This window comes from Homo sapiens, chromosome 18 (assembly GCF_000001405.40).
Source record: "Homo sapiens chromosome 18, GRCh38.p14 Primary Assembly".
Classification (NCBI taxonomy): domain Eukaryota; kingdom Metazoa; phylum Chordata; class Mammalia; order Primates; family Hominidae; genus Homo; species Homo sapiens.
The window spans coordinates 1148132-1168818 of record NC_000018.10 but is presented as its reverse complement, the minus strand read 5'-3'; the positions used below and the strand labels follow the sequence as shown (position 1 = coordinate 1168818).

Genomic DNA, 20687 nt, shown 5'->3' with positions numbered 1-20687 from the left:
CCAGGATAGAGACTCTTGGTCTTTCTGGAAAGCCCTAACTGCTAAGACTATACAGTATGAGGAATTCTGTAAAATGAAGATAAGGGTGTCAATAGGAATGGAAGTTTGGATGTTGGACACCCATATGATAAGTGTTCACAAAAGCAATTCCACAGACACAGTCTTGTCTATCTTCAGATTCCAGTTCATTTGCTCATGAAGGAATCATTAGGTTCTCATCAGCTGAAACACACTAACAAAACTCCAAGGAATGAGGTTTTCTCTCATTCCTACATTCATTTTTAAACAGATGTAAACAGCTTAAGAATGCTGGTCAGTCATCTAGTCTGTCTTTTATATCTACTTATTACTCCAAATAACTACTAGATGTTCAATCTAATGAAATTATTATCAGAGGGAGTGGAAGATAATAATTTTAGGAGTTGTTTCATCCTGTTCATGTTAGCACTTGGAAATTTTATTGTTTTCCATTACTGGTGTATTTCTATTCAGAGAGCTCACCTTGGTTGTCGTTTTAGTTTCTTATTGCTGCTGTAACAAGTACAGTTAGTCTTCACTGAGCAATGTCAGTAGGTTCTTGGAAACTGCGACTTTAAGAGAAATGAAGTGTAACAAAACCAATTTTTTCTTAACAACATTATAACAAAATGATATTGAACTAAACAATATTGAGTGTCTGCTGTATGCTATTTTGCTTAAGTCACAGTTTCCAAAAACCTACCAATGACGATAAGTGAAGACATAATGTACCACAAACTTAGCATCTTAAAACAACACAAATTTATAATTTTATAGTTCTAGAGGTCAAAAATCTAAAACCCGTTTCTCTTGGCTAAAATTAAGGTGTCAGCAGAGCTGGTTCCTTCTGAAAGCTGTAGGGGAAAATTCCTCTACTCATCTTTTCCAAAATCTAGAGGTTGCCTACATTTCATGGCCCCATCGCGTTTCCAAAGCCAGCAATGGCGAGTAGAGTCTTTCTCACATTGCATCACTCTTAACACTGACTCTTCTGCCTCCCTCTTCCACATTTAAGGTCCTTGGGATTATACTAGGTCCACTCCAATCAACCAGGGTAGTCTCCCTATTTTAAGGTCAGCTAATTAGCAGCCTTAATTCCATCTGCAACCTTAATTCCCCCTTGCCATGTAATGTAACATATTCACAAATTCCAGGGATCAGGATATGAACCTCTTTGGGGGGTCATCATTCTGCCTCCCATTGTTACTCATTCACAGCGCTCCCTTCTTTGGTAGGTATTCGAACTGACATGTGAGAATACTGGCCTTTTTTTCTGAAGTTTCACGTAACTTCAAAACAAGGTGCCTCTTCTGTTTGCTCGTAGTTAGAACAATAAGCTTATGCTAATACTTTGAACTTCTTTGAACTTTACCAGATTTAACATTTGTTTTTGCTTTTCAAACAGTAAATATTTGGAATCTTCTATTATCTATGAAATTTACCTAAAATATGTGTGATCCCTCCAATTAATAACCATCTATCCCCTCAACATCTTAATTTCAATTTAGGTCTCAGAACTATTAGGCGAATAGATATACTATTTGTTAGAGTAATTATAATTGTTTGAATTGAATATCTATCCAATTATTTGACTTATTACTTCTAAGAAAGCACACATATATCAAAAGTTTCCAAAGCCTTATACTCTGTAAATATTAAACAAAGAGTGTTTTGTCATAAAAATATGCTTCTAGAAAATGTGCTAAAGAAGCAATAGTTGACTATTTTACAGTTTGTACCAGTACATATTGGGCTAAGTATACTTTATGTAATTCTTGAAACATATACATAAACATTCAAACCTAAATGAGGCCACAAAATATTTTAACTCATTTCTCTTTTATATTTTTCTCTCAATGATCAAGGCATCTGGCATTAGTGATTAAAATGAATGATTATGAAAATGTGAAAAATATTCTGAAATTTCTATTATACCAGGATTTATTACAATACAAACCTTGCTTTTAAATGAGCCTATTTCAGACATAACTTGATATTAAAGAAATCTCTAATAACGGTTCTTTGATCTTCAAGGTAAAGAAACATAATTCAAACGAACACAGAAACAAACCCCAAATTCTACTTTCTGGTTGTAATTAAGAGCCACTATTATCTCAACTCCCAATCAAGTTACACTGAGTAAAATCTACTTATATTCCTTGTATTAGTCCATTTTCAAACTGCAGATACTACCTGAGACTGGGTAATTTATAAAGAAAAGAGGTTTATGACCAGGCGTGGTGGCTCATGCCTGTAATCCCAGCACTTTGGGAGGCCAAGGTGGGTAGATCACTTGAGGTCAGGAGTTCAAGACCAGCCTGGCCAACACAGTGAAACCCCGTCTCTACTAAAAATACAAAAATTAGCCAGTCACGGTGGTGCATGCCTGTGGTCCCAGCTACTCAGGAGGCTGAGGCACAATAATTGCTTGAACCCAGGAGGTGGAGGTGGAAGCTGCAGTAAGCCAAGATCATGCCCCTGCACTCCAGCCTGGGCAACAGACCAAGACTCTGTCTCGGAAAAAAAAAAAAAAAGGGAAAAGAAAAAAGAGGTTAATTGACTCACAGTTCTGCATGGCTGGAGAGGCCTCAGAAAACTTACAATCATGGTGAAAGGTGAAGAGGCACGTCTTACATGGCAGCAGGTAAGAGAAAGTATGCATGTGCAGGGGGAACTGTCAAACACTTATAAAACCATCAGTTCCTGTGAGAACTCACTATCATGAGACCAGCATGGAGGAAACCACCCCCATGATCCAATCACCTCCCATCAGGTCTTGCCATCTACACATGGGAATTATGAGGATTATAATTGAAGATGAGATTTGGGTGGTCTCAGATGGAGATGAGGAACTTGTTGGGAACTGGAGCAAAGGTGATTCTTGCTACGTTTTAGCAAAAAGACTGGCGGCATTTTGCTGCCCTAGAGATTTGTGAACTTTGAACCTGAAAGAGATGATTTAGAGTATCAGGGAAGAAATTTCTAAGCAGCAAAGCATTCAAGAGGTGACTTGGGTGCTGTTAAAAGCATTCAGTTTTAAAAGGAAATGAAACATAAAAGTTCAGAAAATTTGCAGCTGGACGATGCAATAGAAAAGAAAAACCCATTTTCTAAGAAGAAATTCAAGCCTGCTGCAGAAATTTGCATAAGTAACAAGGAGCCAAATGTTAATCTCCAAGACAATGGGGAAAATGTCTCCAGGACATGTCAGAGACATTCACTGCAGCCCCTCCCATCACAGGCCCAGAAGCCCAGGAGAACAAAGTGGTTTCATGGGCCAGGACCAGGGCCCCCCTGCCATATGCACCCTAAGGACTTGGTGCCCTGCATCCCAGCCACTCTAGCCATGGCTAAAAGGGGCCAAGGTACAGCTCAGGCCATTGCTTCCAAGGGCACAAGCCCCAAGCCTTGGCAGCTTCCACATGGTGTTGAGCCTGTGAGTGCACAGAAGTCATGAATTGAGGTTTGGGAACCTCTGCCTAGACTTCAGAGGATGTATGGAAATTCCTGGATGTACAGACAGAAGTCTGCTGCAGGAGCAGAGGCCTCCCAGAGAACCTCTGCTACAGCAGTGCAGAAGGGAAATGTGGTGTTGAAGCTCCCACAGAGACTCACCACTGGGACACTGCTTAGTGGAGCTGTGAGAAGAGGGCCACCATCCTCCAGACCCCAGAATGGTAGATCCACTGACAGCTTGCACCATGCACCTGGAAAAGCCACAGACACTCAATGAAAGCCCATGAAAGCAGCCAGGAGAGGGACTATACTCTACAAAGCCACAGGGGCAGAGCTGCCCGAGGCCGTGGGAGCTCATCTCTCGCGTCGGCATGACCTGGATGTGAGACACGGAGTCAAAGGAGATCTTTTTGGAGGTTTAAGATTTGAGTGGCCCACTGGATTTCAGACTTGCACGGGGCCTTTAGCCCTTTGTTTTGGCCCATTTCTCCCATTTGGAATGAGTGTATTTACCTAATTCCTGTACCCCCATAGTATCTAGGAAATAACTAACTTGCCTTTGATTTTACAGGCTCATAGGTGGAAGAGACTTGCCTTGTATTGAATGAAACGTTTGACTGTGGACTTTTGAGTTAATGCTGAAATGATTTAAGAATTTGGGGGACTGCTGGGAAAGCATGATTGATTTTGAAATGTGAAGACAAAAGATTTGTGAGGGGCTGGGGCAAAATGATATGGTTTGGCTGTGTCCCCACCCAAATCTCATCTTGAATTGTAGCTCCTGTAATTCCCACATGTTGTAGGAGGGATCTGGTGGGAGATAACTGAATCATGGGTGTGGTTTCCCCCATCCTGTTCTCATGGTAGTGAATAAGTCTCATGAGATCTGATGGTTTTATAAGGGGAAACCTCTTTCACTTGGTTCTCATTATCTCTTGCTGCAGCCATGTAAGACATACCTTTCACCTTCTGCCATGATTGTAAGGCCTCCCAGCCACGTGGAACTGTGAGTCCATTAAACCTCTTCCTTTATAAATTACCCAGGCTTGGGTATGTCTTTATTAGCAGCATGAAAACGGACTAATACACTGTGTCATGTAAAACTTACATTAAATATATTTATATGCTTTTTTCTTGCTAACCTATCTTTTGTTATGGGGGTCTCAGTGATGAACCTAGTGATGGTGAAGAAAAGATGTTAGTCTTTCTCCCCTACAGCTACATTTTAGAAGTCAAAAAGGAATATATTTCAAGAATAGTTGTGGAATAGAAATATAGGAAAGACCATTAGCTGCCTCCTAATACCCATATTCCCCCTGCTCTGTTGTAGAACTTTGGCTTCTTTGCTGGGCAAATTACCACACATGCACAGTCTGCATCTCCTATCCTCTGATCCCTTAGTGTGGCTGTGAGATTGAGTTATGGTCAGTGTGATATAAAGACAAAGTGTGGGGCATTGTTTTAAGAGTTTCCCTAAAAATCCTTATTTTTAACTACTAGAAGCTGAACTTGTTTTGTAATTTAGTTACTGACTTCAAAAGTGTTCTGTATTCACATAAACTATGCCTTTTGGATATTTTTCTAGTACAAAGTTGTTACTGCAAGTTTCATAGCTACCTTCTCTTGTTTTGTGCTTCCCCTGATTTTATTTCACATTTCTATTATCAACTAACCTAACTCCTCTAACCAGGGACATTTAAAAGACTATGCAATGCCAAGGAAACAAAGAGAACAGATTTTTATCCTTGAGTCACAGTTCGCTCTGAAATCCTGAAATTTGCTCTGCAATCTTTAGATTTTGAGATAATACAGTACAGCTGCACAAAAGTTAATTTTCAACTTTGTTAGAACATAGTTCTTTAAAATTCCCTGATTTTTTATTCTAACTCACCTTGAACGCATTAGAGTGAGTACAGGTGATCTAAATCATTTAGTCTAATGTCCATTTGGGGCCTGGAATTACCCATAGAGTTTCCATGAAGGCCTAGATAATTATGTAGTAATGCACTCACTCATATTAGAGATGTGTTTTAAAAATCTTAAGGAAACAGGCCTTGGACATTTCTATTAGACAACTCTCTCCCTACCTTCCACCTCTGCCAAAAAGTAAAAATAAAATCCAAAAAATAATTGTATCAAAATCCTCTGGTTTATTTCATTCTCTTAGTCATGGTAGAGAAAGTTTACTTGATCTTTATTCTCTTACCAAAGCAAACTTCTCCCTCTTAAGATGGCTCAATTTTATAAATTCATGTTTTCATATTACTCTAACATCCTTCTAAAGTTTTTATCCTATTATTTTTGTGTCGATTATGTATTCAAGTTGAGAAAGAATCTCCCCAGATTCTATGTTTCCATGCCAAGTTAAACATAAAAATAGCATAAAAAAGAAATTTGGTTTGTTCCATTTATGTTCTAATTAATGTAAATATGATTATGTTGATTGCTTCACTAGCACAGGCGCTTAATGTATCTACTCACTGATACTTACCTTAAAAGAGTGCATTTTTCCTTTTCACAGTCTTCCTTCCTGAAAGGGAACATAAATGTCTGAGGCAGATGCCAGTCCTGAAAATGCTTCTGAAAATTTACTTTTAATACCCATTAGTATATACATTCATTTAAACTTGGGAAAGATGTTAGAGGAAAGCAATATGAACTAATGATTCCCTTGTTTTAGGAAATCATTAACTTTGGAAACTATGCAATTAGGATGACTAAATTTCTCCTTAAAATAGCCAACATCTAAGGAGAATTATAGGCTGTATAAAAGGTACTAGTTTTAGGTACAGAGGATGCAAGTAGTGGTTTAATATATTCATAATTAGATCATAGAGCAAAGAAAGGGCTCCAGATCTAATTCATTTGAGGCTTTCCTGATGCAAAATATTTTACTTGTATAAACACACATAAATTTGCAAATCAGAGTTCCCTTGCACTTCTTGTAATTCTGACCAGTTCTCTTGATTAGGCTATATTTTGCAGTTTCCTCAGTGACATTCTGCTGCACCTTGCCTACCATCTAACTTTACTGAAAGACACCACTTATGAGCTGCCCTGGACACATGCTTATTATATAAATACTTCTTTTCTGAATTCTAGTAGTCTTGTCAGGCCTGGTAAGATGGGCTGGACAAATATGTAACAAATCTTAAGGTGGAACTTCCACCAAGCTTCTTTGATGAAGACCTGAACAAATGGAGGGTACCAGAAAATGCCAACCTAAGCTATGACACTTTGGTGTTACAACAGTTTTGATCTGAAAGCAATTAACTCTGTCTAAAAGTAAGACATGTAAAGGAGATTAGTTTAGACCCTTTAGTCCCAGTCAAACAGACAGATAATTGGAGATGCATAGGTGAACCAGGTGAGGTCAGCAGAAGAACCAGCCAGCTGATCCTAGCCAACCCACAGAATCACGAGTGATAACACATTGTTGTTTCATGCCTCTGACTGTGGGAGGATTTGCTATGCATCAGAATATTACTGATAAACAATCTGGTGTAACAGAAAAACAAGTCAATTAGAAGAGATACAGCTGGGCAGACAGTGTCACAAAGGTCTGGATATATTTAGCAGGGACATACTATAGGAATTAGTCCTAGGAATGAGCTGGGTTGAGTAGAACAGGTATCGACACAGAAGAGGAACTTAAACACAGCAGTGGGAATAAGAACCAAGTTACTCAAACTGGTATATAAAGTGAGGATAAGAACATCACCAATGTGACTTATTATTGATTCACATACATATTGCATACCGGACAAGTCTCATAATTCTTCCCAGTCAGGATTATGACTGGTCCAGACTCAAGTAGCAAAGTGAGCAGTCAAAATATCCAGTTACTCTAAAAAGGTGAACTCTTCTTTAAGTACTATCTTAAGCAAGGTTTAAAAAAAAGTAGATAGTTTCCTGGCATCTTACCTTCATGTATTAATTTACCAAATACTTCTGGAGAACAGACACAGGAAATGGCTTCTGCTCTCCAGCAGCTTGCAGTTGGGTTGCAAGGATTGGGCACATACACAGGAGGTGGTTACAGGAGACAGAAAAGTAGAATGCAAGGAGAGACAAATGAGTGATGGAGATAGGATGGAGCTGAGAGGACCTGCACATCTGGACATCAATGAGGTAGACTGAGGAGGACGAATGTGGGGAGGACTATACAATGGGATAGTCTATGAGGTTGAAAATAGGACTTGGTTACTCCAGGGCTGCAGAAAAAAGGCTTCTAGCTGGAGCTCAGGGTTAGGTTGGAGAGGAGGAAGTCATTAGATCAGAGAGGAATAAATTTTAGTTATATAAGCCCCATTTCCTTTTCTCACCACAAACCAACCCAAATTACTTTCCCAAGGTGATAGTGCTACCACAAGTAAAATAAAATTAGCTGTGGGCCACAGTCCGTAGAGGGGCTGATATGGTTTGGCTCTGTGTCCCCACCCAAATCTCATGTCAAATTGTAATCCTCCTGTGTCAGGGGAGGGGCCTGATAAAAGATGATTGGCTCATGGGGACAGATTCTTCCCTCACTGTTCTTATGATACTGAGTGAGATCTCATGAGATCTGATCATTTAAAAGCGTGTGGCACCTCTTTCTTCTCTCTCTCACTCTCTCTCTCCTGCCAACATGTGAAGAAGGTGCTTGCTTCTTGCTTCCCCTTCACCTTCCGCCATGATTCTAAGTTTCCTGAGGACTCTCAGTCATTCTTCCTTTTAAGCCTGCAGAACTGTGAGTCAATTAAAACTCCTTTGTTCATAAATTACCCAGTCTCAGGTAGTTCATCATAGTAGTGTAAGAACTGACTAATAGAGAAAATAGGGGCAACGGGATGTTGGCTATCTTAGGGAGAAGATGCTCCATCTGTGGTGCCTCAACATGCCGGCAGCTGGTGGAGATGAGTCCTGAGGCCCACCCAACCTCAGTTGCAGGGCTCTTGGGCCACTCCCCTGTTCCCTCAATCTAGTCCATGACATTCCAGAAGAATATAGTTGTCATTATGGCTTCCTTAAGTTTTAATTACTGTAGTAGCTTTTAAATTATGCCATGACAACCCCGCTGTTGCATACCTGGATTTAGCAAAATGTGATGTGCGGGTGAGTTGTTCAATGTACAAGGTCATTTTTAATAAATTTTCACTACAGTTAAGAAGATAGTGTTCCTGATGTGGCTAATGGATAAGCTCCCACTTTTACTGGCCATGCTATGCAGAGACATGGTAAGTTTAGCTTTTAAAAGCCCTTGAAATCAGGCGTGGTGGCTCACGCTTGTAATCACAACAGTTTGGGAGGCCGAGGCAGGTGGATCACTTGAGGTCAGGAGTTCTAGACCACCCTGGCCAACATGGTGAAACCCCATCTCTACTAAAAATACAAAAATTAGCCAGGTGTGGTGGCTGGTGCCTGTAATCTCAGCTACTCAGCAGGCTGAGGCAGGAGAATCACTTGAACCCAGGAAGCAGAGGTTGCAGTGAGCCGAGATCATGCCACTGCACTCTAGCCTGGGCAACAGAGCAAGACTCCGTCTCAAAAATAAAATAAAATAAAATAAGCCCTTGAAGTCTTTTAGGGCAGCATGTTCAGAGAGAATGTCTATCTCTGATGCACATAACTTTACTTTACTCCCTCTCTCAGTGTAGAAGAATTTTATTTTACTGACTTTGCCCTGGCTCCAATGAAAGCTGCTGATGTAGAATTTCAAACCAAGCCAGGGCATGCTAATGTTCTGAGGAATCCTGCTTCCAAAAGGTATAAACAAAGAGAGATGGTCCCTCATGAATGAAACAGGTAACTATACACCACAAGAAAAGTCAATTGCTTTAGATATACCATTGAAGTATGGAATGCATTTGTTGCTTTTCAAGCCCAGAAATAAAATGTCCAAAGATAGAACAGATGGTTGTAGTATTTGAAGCAGGTTACGTAGCTGGGGGTGCTATTGTCTCTCACCTGCTGATTCTGTAGCATCTGTGGTGAATAAAGGCAGTGCCACTCAGCTTCCTCAGAGGATTGGATGTAGGCTGTGGGAGGACCGGGCTGTGTGGGTATCATCATAATTGGACCTCTGACTGAGCTACAGTGGTTTATCGAAAACTCCAGAAGGTCCATCTCAGCTTCCATGCATTTTGCCATCTGAAATTGGAGTCTTTGAAGAAGCAGCATGTTTTCCCTGAGGAAATAAATCAAAGCAAATGTGAACTAAATTGCTTGCTGGCCAGTGTTGAGAAACGTACAAAAGTAACATTTATAAATTTGACAAACAGGACACGTCCTGTTCCTGATATAGTTACTGGTATTACCTTTGCTTAAGGCAAGAGCTTATTTGTTGAAATAAACTAACTCTCCATGATTTATCTGTGATTTGATAATTATTTGAAGCTAGTATGAAGCTGAAACTGGATCCCTTCCTTACACCTTATACAAAAATTAATTCAAGATGGATTAAAGACTTAAATGTTAGACCTAAAGCCATAAAAACTCTAGAAGAAAATCTAGGCATTACCATTCAGCACATAGGCATGGGCAAAAACTTCATGACCAAAACACCAAAAGCAATGGCAACAAAAGCCAAAATAGACAAATGGGATCTAATTAAATTAAAGAGCTTCTGCACAGCAAAAGAAACTACCATCAGAGTGAACAGGCAACCTACAGAATGGAAGAAAATTTTTGCAATCTACCCATCTGACAAAAGGCTAATATCCAGAATCTACAAAAAACTCAAACAAATTTACAAGAAAAAAATAAACAACCCCATCAAAAAGTGGGCAAAGGATATGAGCAGACACTTCTCAAAAGAAGACATGTATGCAGCCAACAGACACATGAAAATATGCTCATCATCACTGATCATCAGAGAAATGCAAATCAAAACCACAATGAGATACCATCTCACGCAAGTTAGAATGGCAATCATTAAAGTCAGGAAACAACAGATGCTGGAGAGGATGTGGAGAAATAGGAACACTTTTACACTGTTGATGGGAGTGTAAATTGGTTCAACCACTGTGGAAGACAATGTGGTGATTCCTCAAGGATCTAGAACTAGAATTACCATTTTACCCAGCAATCCCATTACTGAGTGTATACCCAAATGATTATAAATCATGCTGCTATAATGACACACGCACATGTAAGTTTATTGTGACACTATTCACAATAGCAAAGACTTGGAACCAACCCAAATGTCCATCAATGATAGACTGGATAAAGAAAATGTGGCACATATACACCATGGAATACTAGGCAGTCATAAAAAAAAAAGGATGAGTTCATGTCCTTTGCAGGGACATGGATGAAGCTGGAAACCATCATTCTCAGCAAACTATCACAAGGACAGAAAACCAAATACTGCATGTTCTCACTCATAGGTGGGAATTGAACAATGAGATCACTTGGACATGGGGTGGAGAAAATCACACACCGGGGCCTGTTGAGGGGTGGGGGGCTGGGGGAGGGATAGCATTAGGAGATATACCTAATGTAAATGATGAGTTGATGGGTGCAGCATACCAACATGGCACATGTATACCTATGTATCAAACCTGCACGTTGTGCACATGTACCCTAGAACTTAAAGTATAATAATAATAATAATAATAATAATAATAATAAAAGGATTGGAGGCAGAGCAAGATGGTAGAATAGAAGGCTCCACTGATCATACCCCCTGCACAGACACCAATTTAACAGCAATCTACACAGAAAAAAACACCTGCATAAGAACCAAAAATCAGGTGAGCTCTCATAATACCCAGTTTTAACTCCATGTTGCTGAAAAAGGCACTGAAAAGATAGAGAAAGCAGTCCTGACTTGCCGATGCACCCAGAGATGCTCTCGGTACCAAGCTGCCACTGCTGGGGGTGGGGACGGTGCAGAGGGAGGGAGTGCACAGCAATTGTGAGGCACTGAACTCAGTGATGTTGATACAGGAGATAGAAAGAAATTATTTAGAGGCAGATAGTAAGGGCAACAGAGTCCTCGGCAGAATTTTTCCTTTTAACAAAAAGCAGCCCCCAAATCATTTCTTTTCTAACAAAGAGCATCCTGAAAAATTGAGCTGTGGACATATATAAAAAAGCTGGAAGCTTGCATGGGTGACTGTCTGCAGCTGTGCCAATAGCAAAGGGCTACCTGAGGGCCAGGCATGTTCAACATGGAGGCTCTATCTTCCCTTTTCTTTGTCACCACATGTAAAAAAGCAGGCAACATGGTGCCAGCAAGGTATAGAACCAGTCTGCCTAATAAAATATTTGGGTGGGGTGGCCAGCCTCTTTGTATGCTATGCAAATGGCACACCTAATCCAACCAATCTTTTGTGTCCTGTGTAAATCAGACACTGCCTCCTCAGGCTCATCTACAAAACCTCCTCCACTTCACCGCAGACCAGAAGACCTGCTCGGGACCCCTCTCTCTGCAGAAAAGAGCTTTTCTCTTTCTTTCACCTATTAAACCTTGGCTCTTAACCTCACTCCTTGTGTGTCTGCATCCTTGATTTCTTTGGCGTGGGACAATGAACCTTGGGTATTACCCCAGATGAATGATACCACTTCACTATTCTGTTCCTACAGAAAGGAAAACAGGACCAAACTCAGCTGATGCCTGCCCACAGAGAGAATGTTTAAAACAGCCTTAGCCAGAGGAGAATCGCCTATCCCAGCATTCAGAACTTGAGTTCTCACAAACCTCACCACCCAGGACTAAATTGCTTGAGGTTTCTTAGTTAACTTGAAAGGCAGTCTCAGCCATAAGGACTCTAACTCATAGGTGAATCCTAGTGCTAAACTGTGCCCAGAGACAGTGGACTGGGGGGACATGTGACCTACTGAAACACCAACTAGGGTGGCTACGGGAGTGCTGGCATCACCCCTTTCATAGCCCCAGGCTGCACAGCTCACAGCTCACAGCTCCAAAAGAGATGCTTTCCATCTGACTGATTAGAGGAGAGAGAAGACTGGTAAGGACATTGTCTTGCATCTTGGATATCAGCTCAGCCTCAGCAGGATAAGGTACCAGTCAGAGTTGTGAGGCCCCCATTTCCGGCCCTAGCTCCCAGACATTTCTAGACACACCCTGGGACAGAAAGGAACCTGCCGCCTTGAAGGGAAGGATCCAGTCCTGGCAACATCCATCACCTGCTAACTGAAGATGCTTAGACAGTGAATAACCAGCAGTGATACCCAGATACTGTGTTGAGGGTCTTGGGTCAGCCCCAAAGAATTGCTGGCTTCAGGTAAGACTCAGCATATTACCAGCTGTGGTGGCTACAGGGAGAAACTCCTTCTGCTTGATGAAAGCAGAAAGAAAAGTAAAGAGGACTTTGTCTTTCCCAAGCTGTGGACCTTAGGTACCAGCTCAGCCACAGGTGTGTAGAGAACCAAGCAGGCACTAGGGGCCCCCAATTCCAGGACTTGACTCTTGGATGGCATTTCTGGACCTGCCCTGGGCCAGAGAGGAGCCCACTGCTCTGAAGGGTGAGTCCCAGGCCAGGCAGCATTCATCACAAGCTGACTGAAGAGTCCTTGGGCCTTCAGGGAACATTGGTGGTAGCCTGGCAGTACTCTCCGTGGCCTGTGGTGGTGGTGGCTTTGGGGTGAGGCTCCTCTGTCTTTGGAAAGGAGAGAAAAGTAGGAAGAATTGTGTCTTGTGGTATGAATGCCAGCTCAGCTGCAGCAGAATAGAACACCAGGAAGACTTTTAAGGTTTTTTATTCTAGTTCCTGGCTCCCAGATAGCACCTCTAAACCCAACCGGGACCAGGAGGAACTTGCCACCTGCATGGAAGGATACAGGCCTGGCTGGCTTAGCCATCTGCTGATAACAGAGCCTCAGAACCTTGAATGAACATAGGCAATAGCCAGGGAGTGGTTACAGCAGGACTTGAGTAAGACCCAGAGCTGCACTGGCTTCAGGCCTCACCTAGTGCAATCACAGTGGTGGTGGTCACAGAGGGTTTGTGTCACTCCACCCCCAGCTTTAGGTGGCTCAGAACACACAGATATACTCTGTTTGGGAGAAAATAAGGAAAGAGAACAAGAGTCTCTGCCTGTTAATCCAGAGAATTCTCCTGGATCTTATCCAAGATCATCAAGTGGGACCTCTATGAGTCTGCAAGAGTCACAGCATCCTGGGCTTTGGGTGCCCCCTAAAGCAGATACAACTTAGATCACAATACCCAAGTTCTTTCAAACATCTGGAAAGCCTTCCCAAGAAGGACAGGTACAACCAAGCCCAGATAGTGAAGATGACAATAAATACCTAACTCTTCAATATCCAGACACCAAAAAACATCTGCTAACACCAATACCATCCAAGAAAACATGACCTTACCAAACAAACTAAATAAGGCACTAGGGTCCAGTGCTGGAGAATCAGAGTTATGTGACCTTTCAGATAGAGAATTCAAAATAGTTGTTTTGAGGAAACTCAAAGAAATTCAAGATAACACAGAGAAGGAATTCAGAACTCTATCAAATTAATGTAACAAAGAGATTTAAATAATTATTAAAAATTAAGCAGAACTGCTGAAATTGAATAATGAAATTGGCATACTGAAGAATACATCACAGTCTGTTAATATCAGAATGGATCAAGCAGAAGAAAGAATTAGTGAGCTTGAAAACAGGCTATTTGAAAATACAGTCAGAAGAAACAAAAGAAAAAAGAATTTAAAAAATGAAGCACACTACAGGATCTAGAAAACAGCCTCAAAAGGGCAGATCTAAGAGTTATTGGCCTTAGTGAGGAGGTTGAGAAAGAGATAGGGGTAGAAAATTTATTCAAAGGGATAACAGAGAATTTCCCAAACCTACAGAAAGATATCAATACCCAAGTACAAGAAGGTTATAGGACACTAAGCAGATTTAACCCAAGAAGACTACCTTAAAACATGTAATAAACTTCCAAAGATCAAGGATAAAAAAGGAGATCCTAAAAGCAGCAAGAGAAAATAAACAAATGATATACAATGGAGCTCCAATACTTCTGGCAGCAGGTTTTTCAGTGGAAAACTTACAGGCCAGAACAGAGTGGCATGACATATTCAAAGTGCTGAAATTTGATTTTTAACTCTAGAAGAGTATACCCAGTGAAAATATCCTTCAAACATGAAGGATAAAGGCTTTTCCAGACAAACAAAAGCTGAGGGATTTCATCAACACTAGACCTGTCCTACAAGAAATGCTAAAGGAAATACTTCAATCAGACAGAAAAGGACATTGATGAGCAGTAAGTACAGTGAAGGTACAAAACTCACTGGTAATAGTAAGTACACAGAAAACACAGAATATTATAACACAGAACTGTGGTATGTTAACTACTCTTATCCAAAGGAAAAAGACTAAATGATGAACCAATCAAAAATAATCACGACATGGACTTTTACAGGCATAGCAAAATAAGATAAAAATAGAGACAAAAAGTTAAAAAGTGAGGGTATGAAGTTAAGGTACAGTTTTTATTAGTTTTCTTTTTACATGTTTGTTTGTTCATTTATACAAACAATGTTAAGTAGTTATTCAGGTTAAAATAATGGGTTATAAGATAGTATTTGCAAGCCTCATGGTAACTTCAAACCAAAGATCATACAACAGATACACAAAAATAAAAAGCGAACTAAATTATATTACTGTATCCCCAGAAAAAAATCACCTTCACTAAAGGAAGACAGGAAAGAAAGAACAAAGGAAGGGAAGACCACAAAACAACCAGAAAACAAATAATGAAATAATAGGAGTAAGTCCTTGCTTATCAAAAATAACATTGAATGTAAATGGACTAAACTCACCAATCAAAAGACACAGAGTGGCTGAATGGATAAAAAAAAAAAAACAAGACTCAGATATCTGTTGCCTACATAAAAAACACACTTCACTTATAAAGACACACTTAGACTGAACATAAAGGGATGGAAAAAGATATTCCATGCCAGTGGAAACCAAAAAAGAGCAAGAGTAGCTATACTTATTTCAGACAAAATGGATTTCAAGACAAAACCTATAAGAAGAGACAAAGAAAGTCACTATATAATAATAGAGGGGTCAATTCCACGAATGAATATAACAATTATAAAAAATATGCACCCAACACTGGAGCACCCAGATATATAAAGCAAATATTATTAGAACTAAAGAGAGGGATCACCCAGTACAATAACAGATGGATAGTTCAACACCCCACTTTCAGCACTGGACAGATCTTCCAGACAGAAAATCAACAAAGCAACATCAGACTTAATCTGTACTACAGATCAAATGGATCTAATAGATATTTACAGAACATTTCATCCAACGGCTGCAGAATACACATTCTATTCCTGAGCACATGTATCATTCTCAAGGATAGGCCATATGTTAGGTCACAATACAAGTCTTAAAACATTTAAAAACATTCAGATAATATGAAGTATCTTCTCTGACAACAATGGAATAAAACTGGAAATTAACACCATGAGGAATTTTGGAAACTAAATAAATATATAGAAATTAGATAATACGTTCCTGAATGACCAGGGGGTCAGTGAAGAAATTAAGAAGAAAATTGAAAAATGTCTTGAAACAAATGATAATGGAAACACAACCCACAAAAACCTATGGGGTACAGCAGAAGCAGTACTAATAGCTGTAAGTGCCTACATTTAAAAAGCAGAAAAACTTCAAATAAACAATCTAATGACGAATCTTAATGAACTAGAAAAGCAAGAGCAAACGAAACCCAAAATTAGTAGAAAAAAGAAATAAGAAATATCAGAGCAGAAGTAAATGAAATTGAAATTAAAAAATACAAAAGATCAATGAAACAAAAAAGTTGCTTTTTTGAAAAGTTAAGCAAAATTGACAAATCTTTAGCCAGACTAAGAAAAAAAGGAAGATACAATTAAATAAAATCAGAAACGAAAAAGAGATATTACAACTGATACTGCAAAAATTCCAAGAATCATCAGTAGCTACTATGAACAACTGTATGACAATAAATTGAAAAATCTAGAAGAAATGGACAAATCCCTAGACAGGTACAACTTACCAAGATTGGACCATGAAGAAATCCAAAACCTAAACTGACCAACAACTAGAAACGAGATCAAACCCATAATAAAAAGTCTTCTAGTAAAGAAAAGTCCAGGACCTGATGGCTTCATTGCTGAATTCTACCAAACATTTAAAGAAGAACTAATACCAATCCTACTCAAACTATTCTGAAAAATAGAGAAGGAGGGAATGTTTTCAAACTTCTTCTATCAGGCCAGTATTATCCTGATACCAAAACCAGACAAAGGCACATCAAAAAAGGAAACTACTGACCAATATCTCTGATGAATACTGATGCAAAAATCCTCAACAAAATACTAGCAAACCAAATTCAACAGTATATTTGTCAAATGCTGATCAATGAAAAGCATTTGATGAAATTCAACAGCCATTCATGATAATAAAAACCTTTTAAAAACTGGATATGTAAGGAACATAATGAAAGCCATATATGACAGACCCACAGCTAGTATTATACTGAATGGGAGGAAACTAAAAGACTTTTCTCTACATTCTGGAACACAGTAAGAATGCCCACTTTCACCACCATTATTCACCATAGTACTGGAAGTCCTAGCTAGAGCAATCAGACAAAAGAAAGAAATAAAGTGCAGTCAGATTGAAATGGAAGAAGTCAAATTATTCTCCTTTGCAGATTATATAATCTTTCACTTAGAGAAACCTAAAGACTTCATCAAAAACTATTAGAACTCAAACAAATTCAGTAAAGTTGCAAGATACAAAATCAACAACATTTGAATACAAAATTAGTAGCATTTCTATATGCCAAGAGTGACCAACCTAAAAAAAAATTTTAAAAGTAATCTCAGGCCAGGCATGGTGGCACATGCCTGTAATCCCAGCTACTTGGGAGGCTGAGGCAGGATAATCACTTGAAAACAGGAAGCAGAGGTTGCAGTGAGCCGAGATCATGCTACTGCACTTCAGCCTGGGTGACAGAGTGAGACTCTGTCTCAAAAAAAAAAAAAAAAAAGTAATCTCATTTACAATAGCCACATATAAAATTAAATACTTAGGGATTAACCAGAAAAGTGAAAGATCTCTATAATGAAAACCGTAAAACACTGATGAAAGAAATGAAAGAGGACACCAAAAACTGGAAAAATATTCCATGTTTATGGATTGGAAGAATCAATATTGTTAAAATGTCCATACTACCCAAAGGAATCTACAGGATCATTGTAATCTCTGTCAACATGCTAAAGACATTCTTCACATAAGTAGAAAAAAAAATCCTAAACCTTATGTGGAACCACAAAAGAACCAGAATAGCCAAAGCTAATCTGAGCAAAAATAACAAAACTGGAGGAATCACATTACCTGACCTCAAATTATATTACAGAGCTATAGTAACCAAAAGAGCATGGAACTGGCATAAAAACAGACACATAGAACAATGGAACAGAATACACGCCCCAGAAACAAATCCATACATCTACAGTGAACTTATTTTTGACAAAGGAGCCAAGAATGTACACTGGGGAATGGACAGTCTCCCCAAAAAATGGTGCTGGGAAAACTAGATATCCATATCCAAAAGAATGAAACCAGACTGCTATCTCTCACCATATACAAAATGGATTAAAGACTTAAGTCTAAAACTCAGACTATGAAACTACCACAAGAAAACATTGGGGAAAATCTCCAGGACGTTGGTGTGGGCAAAACTTCTTGAGCAATACCCTACAAGCACAGGCAACCAAAGCAAAAATGAAAAAAATGAGATTACATCAAGGTCAAAAGCTTCTGCACAGCAAAGGAAACAATCAACAAAACAAAGAAACAACCCACAGTATGAGAGAAAATATTTGCAAATGACTCATTTGACAAAAGATAATATAACCAGAATACAGAAAGAATTCAAACAACTTTATAGGAAAAAAATCTAATAACCCGACCAAAAACTGGGCAAAATATTTTAATAGACATTTCTCAAAAGAAGACATACAAATGGCAAATAAGGCACATGAAAGGGTGCTCAACATCACTGATCATCAGATAAATGCAAATCAAAACTACAGTGAGATATCATCTCACCCCAGTTAATACGGCTTGTATAAAAAAGACAGGCAATAACAAATATTAGCAAGAATGTGGAGAAAAGAGAACCCTTGTACACTGTTGGTAGGAATGTAAATTAGTGCAACCTCTATGGAGAACAGTTTGGAGATTCCTCAAAAAACTAAAAATAGAGCTACCATATGATCCAGCAATTCCACTGCTGGGTATATACCCCACGCCCCCCACCAAGAAATCAGTACGTGAAAGAGATATTTGCACTCCCATGTTTGTTGCAGCACTGTTCATAATAGCCAGGATTTGGAAGCAACCTAAGTGTCTATCAACAGGTGAACGGATAAAGAAACTGTGATACATATATGCAATGGAGCACTATACAGCCCTAAAAAAGAATGAGATCCAGTCATTTACAACAACAAGAATAGAACTGGAGATCATTATATTAAGTGAAATAAGTCATGCACAGAAACACAAACATCGTATTGTCTCACTTATTTGTGGGATCTAAAAATCAAAACAATTCAACCAAAGACAAAGAGAACAGAAGGATGGAGAGTGCCAGGAGAGTACTAGAAGGAAGGAGAATATCAGCATCTAGAAAGGGAAGGTGTGGATGGCTAATGGGTAGAAAAACATAGAAAGAATGAATAAGACCTACAATTTGATAGCACAACAGGGTGACTATGGTAAATAACTTAATTATACACTTTTAATAACTAAAAGAGTATAATTGGATTGCTTGTAACACAACAGATAAATGCTTGAGGGCATAGAGACTCCATTCTGCATGATGCGGTTATTATACATTGTGTACATATATCAAAACATCTCAGGTACCCCATAAACATGTATGACTACTATGTACCTAAAAAAATTAAAAATAAATTAAAAGAACAGAAGAAAAAATAATGTTCTGGATCATCAGGCAGAAACTCTTGTTCTCTTCTCTTACTTTCCTCCAAACAAACGGAATTTCTTCCTATGTTCTGAGCCACCAAGCTAGGAGAGGGGTGACACAGGCACCCCGGGGCCACTACCACTGGGACTGTGCTGGATCAGACCCGAAGCCAGCATAGCATCGGATCTCACCCAAGCCTCCCCTGTAATCACCACCTGGCTATTGCCTATGTTCACTCAAGGCCCTGGGGCTCTACAATCAGCAGGTGGCAAAGCCAGCAAGGCTTGCGTCCTTCTTTTGAGAGTGGTGAGATCTTCCAGTCCAGAGGTGCCATCTGGGAGCCAGAGATTGGAGTCAAGAACCTTAGAAGTCTACCTGGTGTATTGTACCATGGCTGAGCTGGCACTCAAACCATGCACTACTTTCCACTCTTCCCTCCCCTTTCCAAAGGCAGAGGAGCCTCACCCTGAGGCCACCACTACCACAGGCCACGGGGAGTACTGCCAAGATGCCGCTGATGTTCCCTTAAGGCCCAAGGGCTCTTTATTCAGTTTGTAGTGAATGCTGCCTGGCCTTGGAGTCAGCTTTCAGGGCAATGGGCTCCCTTCTGGCCAGAAAGCCTTTCTGGTCTAAAAAAGCCATTCAAGAACCAAGGCCTGTTATCAGAGACTCCAAGAGCCTGCTTGGTGCTCCCACTGTGGCAGAGCTGGCACCTAAGGTGCAAGACAAAGTCCCCTTTACCTTTCCCTCTGCCTTTCTCAAGCAGAAGTCTCTCCCTGTAGCCACCATAGATGCAAATGTGCTTATGTCACCTGAAGCCAGCACGTCTCAAAACCTTACCCAAGACCCTCGATGTAGTACCTAGGTACCACTGCTGGTTGTTCAGGGGCCAAGGGCTCTTGAGTCAGCAGGTGATGGGTCTTGCCAGGACTGGATCCTTCCCTTCAAGGTTGTATGTTCTCTTCTGGCCCGGCGTGTATCTAGCAACTGTCATCCAGAAGCTGGAGCCTGGAAATAGGGCCTAATGACTCTCACTGGCACCCTATCCTACTGTGGCTGAGCTGGTTTTATATCCAAGATATAAAACAAAGTCTTCTTTATTCTTTCCTCTCCTTTCCTCAAGCAGAAGGAAAGGTTATCTTTTGGAGCCTCGAGCTGTGCACCTGGGTTTAGGGAAGGGGTGGCATAAGCTCTCCCTTTGCTGCCCTAGCTGGTGTCTCAGTAGGTCACATCCCTCCCCTGCCACCCAGTTT

At 40.0% G+C, this 20687-nt stretch overlaps 1 long non-coding RNA gene and 1 pseudogene across 2 annotated transcripts in view; one reads left to right on the top strand and one right to left on the bottom strand.

The window, feature by feature from the left end:
• LOC105371953 (uncharacterized) overlaps nucleotides 1-20687 on the bottom strand; it is a 155413-nt gene that overhangs the window by 85599 nt on the left and 49127 nt on the right. For both annotated transcript variants that reach the window (XR_001753318.2, XR_007066436.1), the window contains exons 3-4: nucleotides 9421-9640; nucleotides 5966-6004 (exon numbers count right to left, since the gene is read on the bottom strand). This is a non-coding gene — a long non-coding RNA (uncharacterized LOC105371953). The remainder of the gene's footprint in view (nucleotides 1-5965; nucleotides 6005-9420; nucleotides 9641-20687) is intronic.
• On the top strand, nucleotides 9047-9630 carry SLC25A3P3 (solute carrier family 25 member 3 pseudogene 3; annotated as a pseudogene).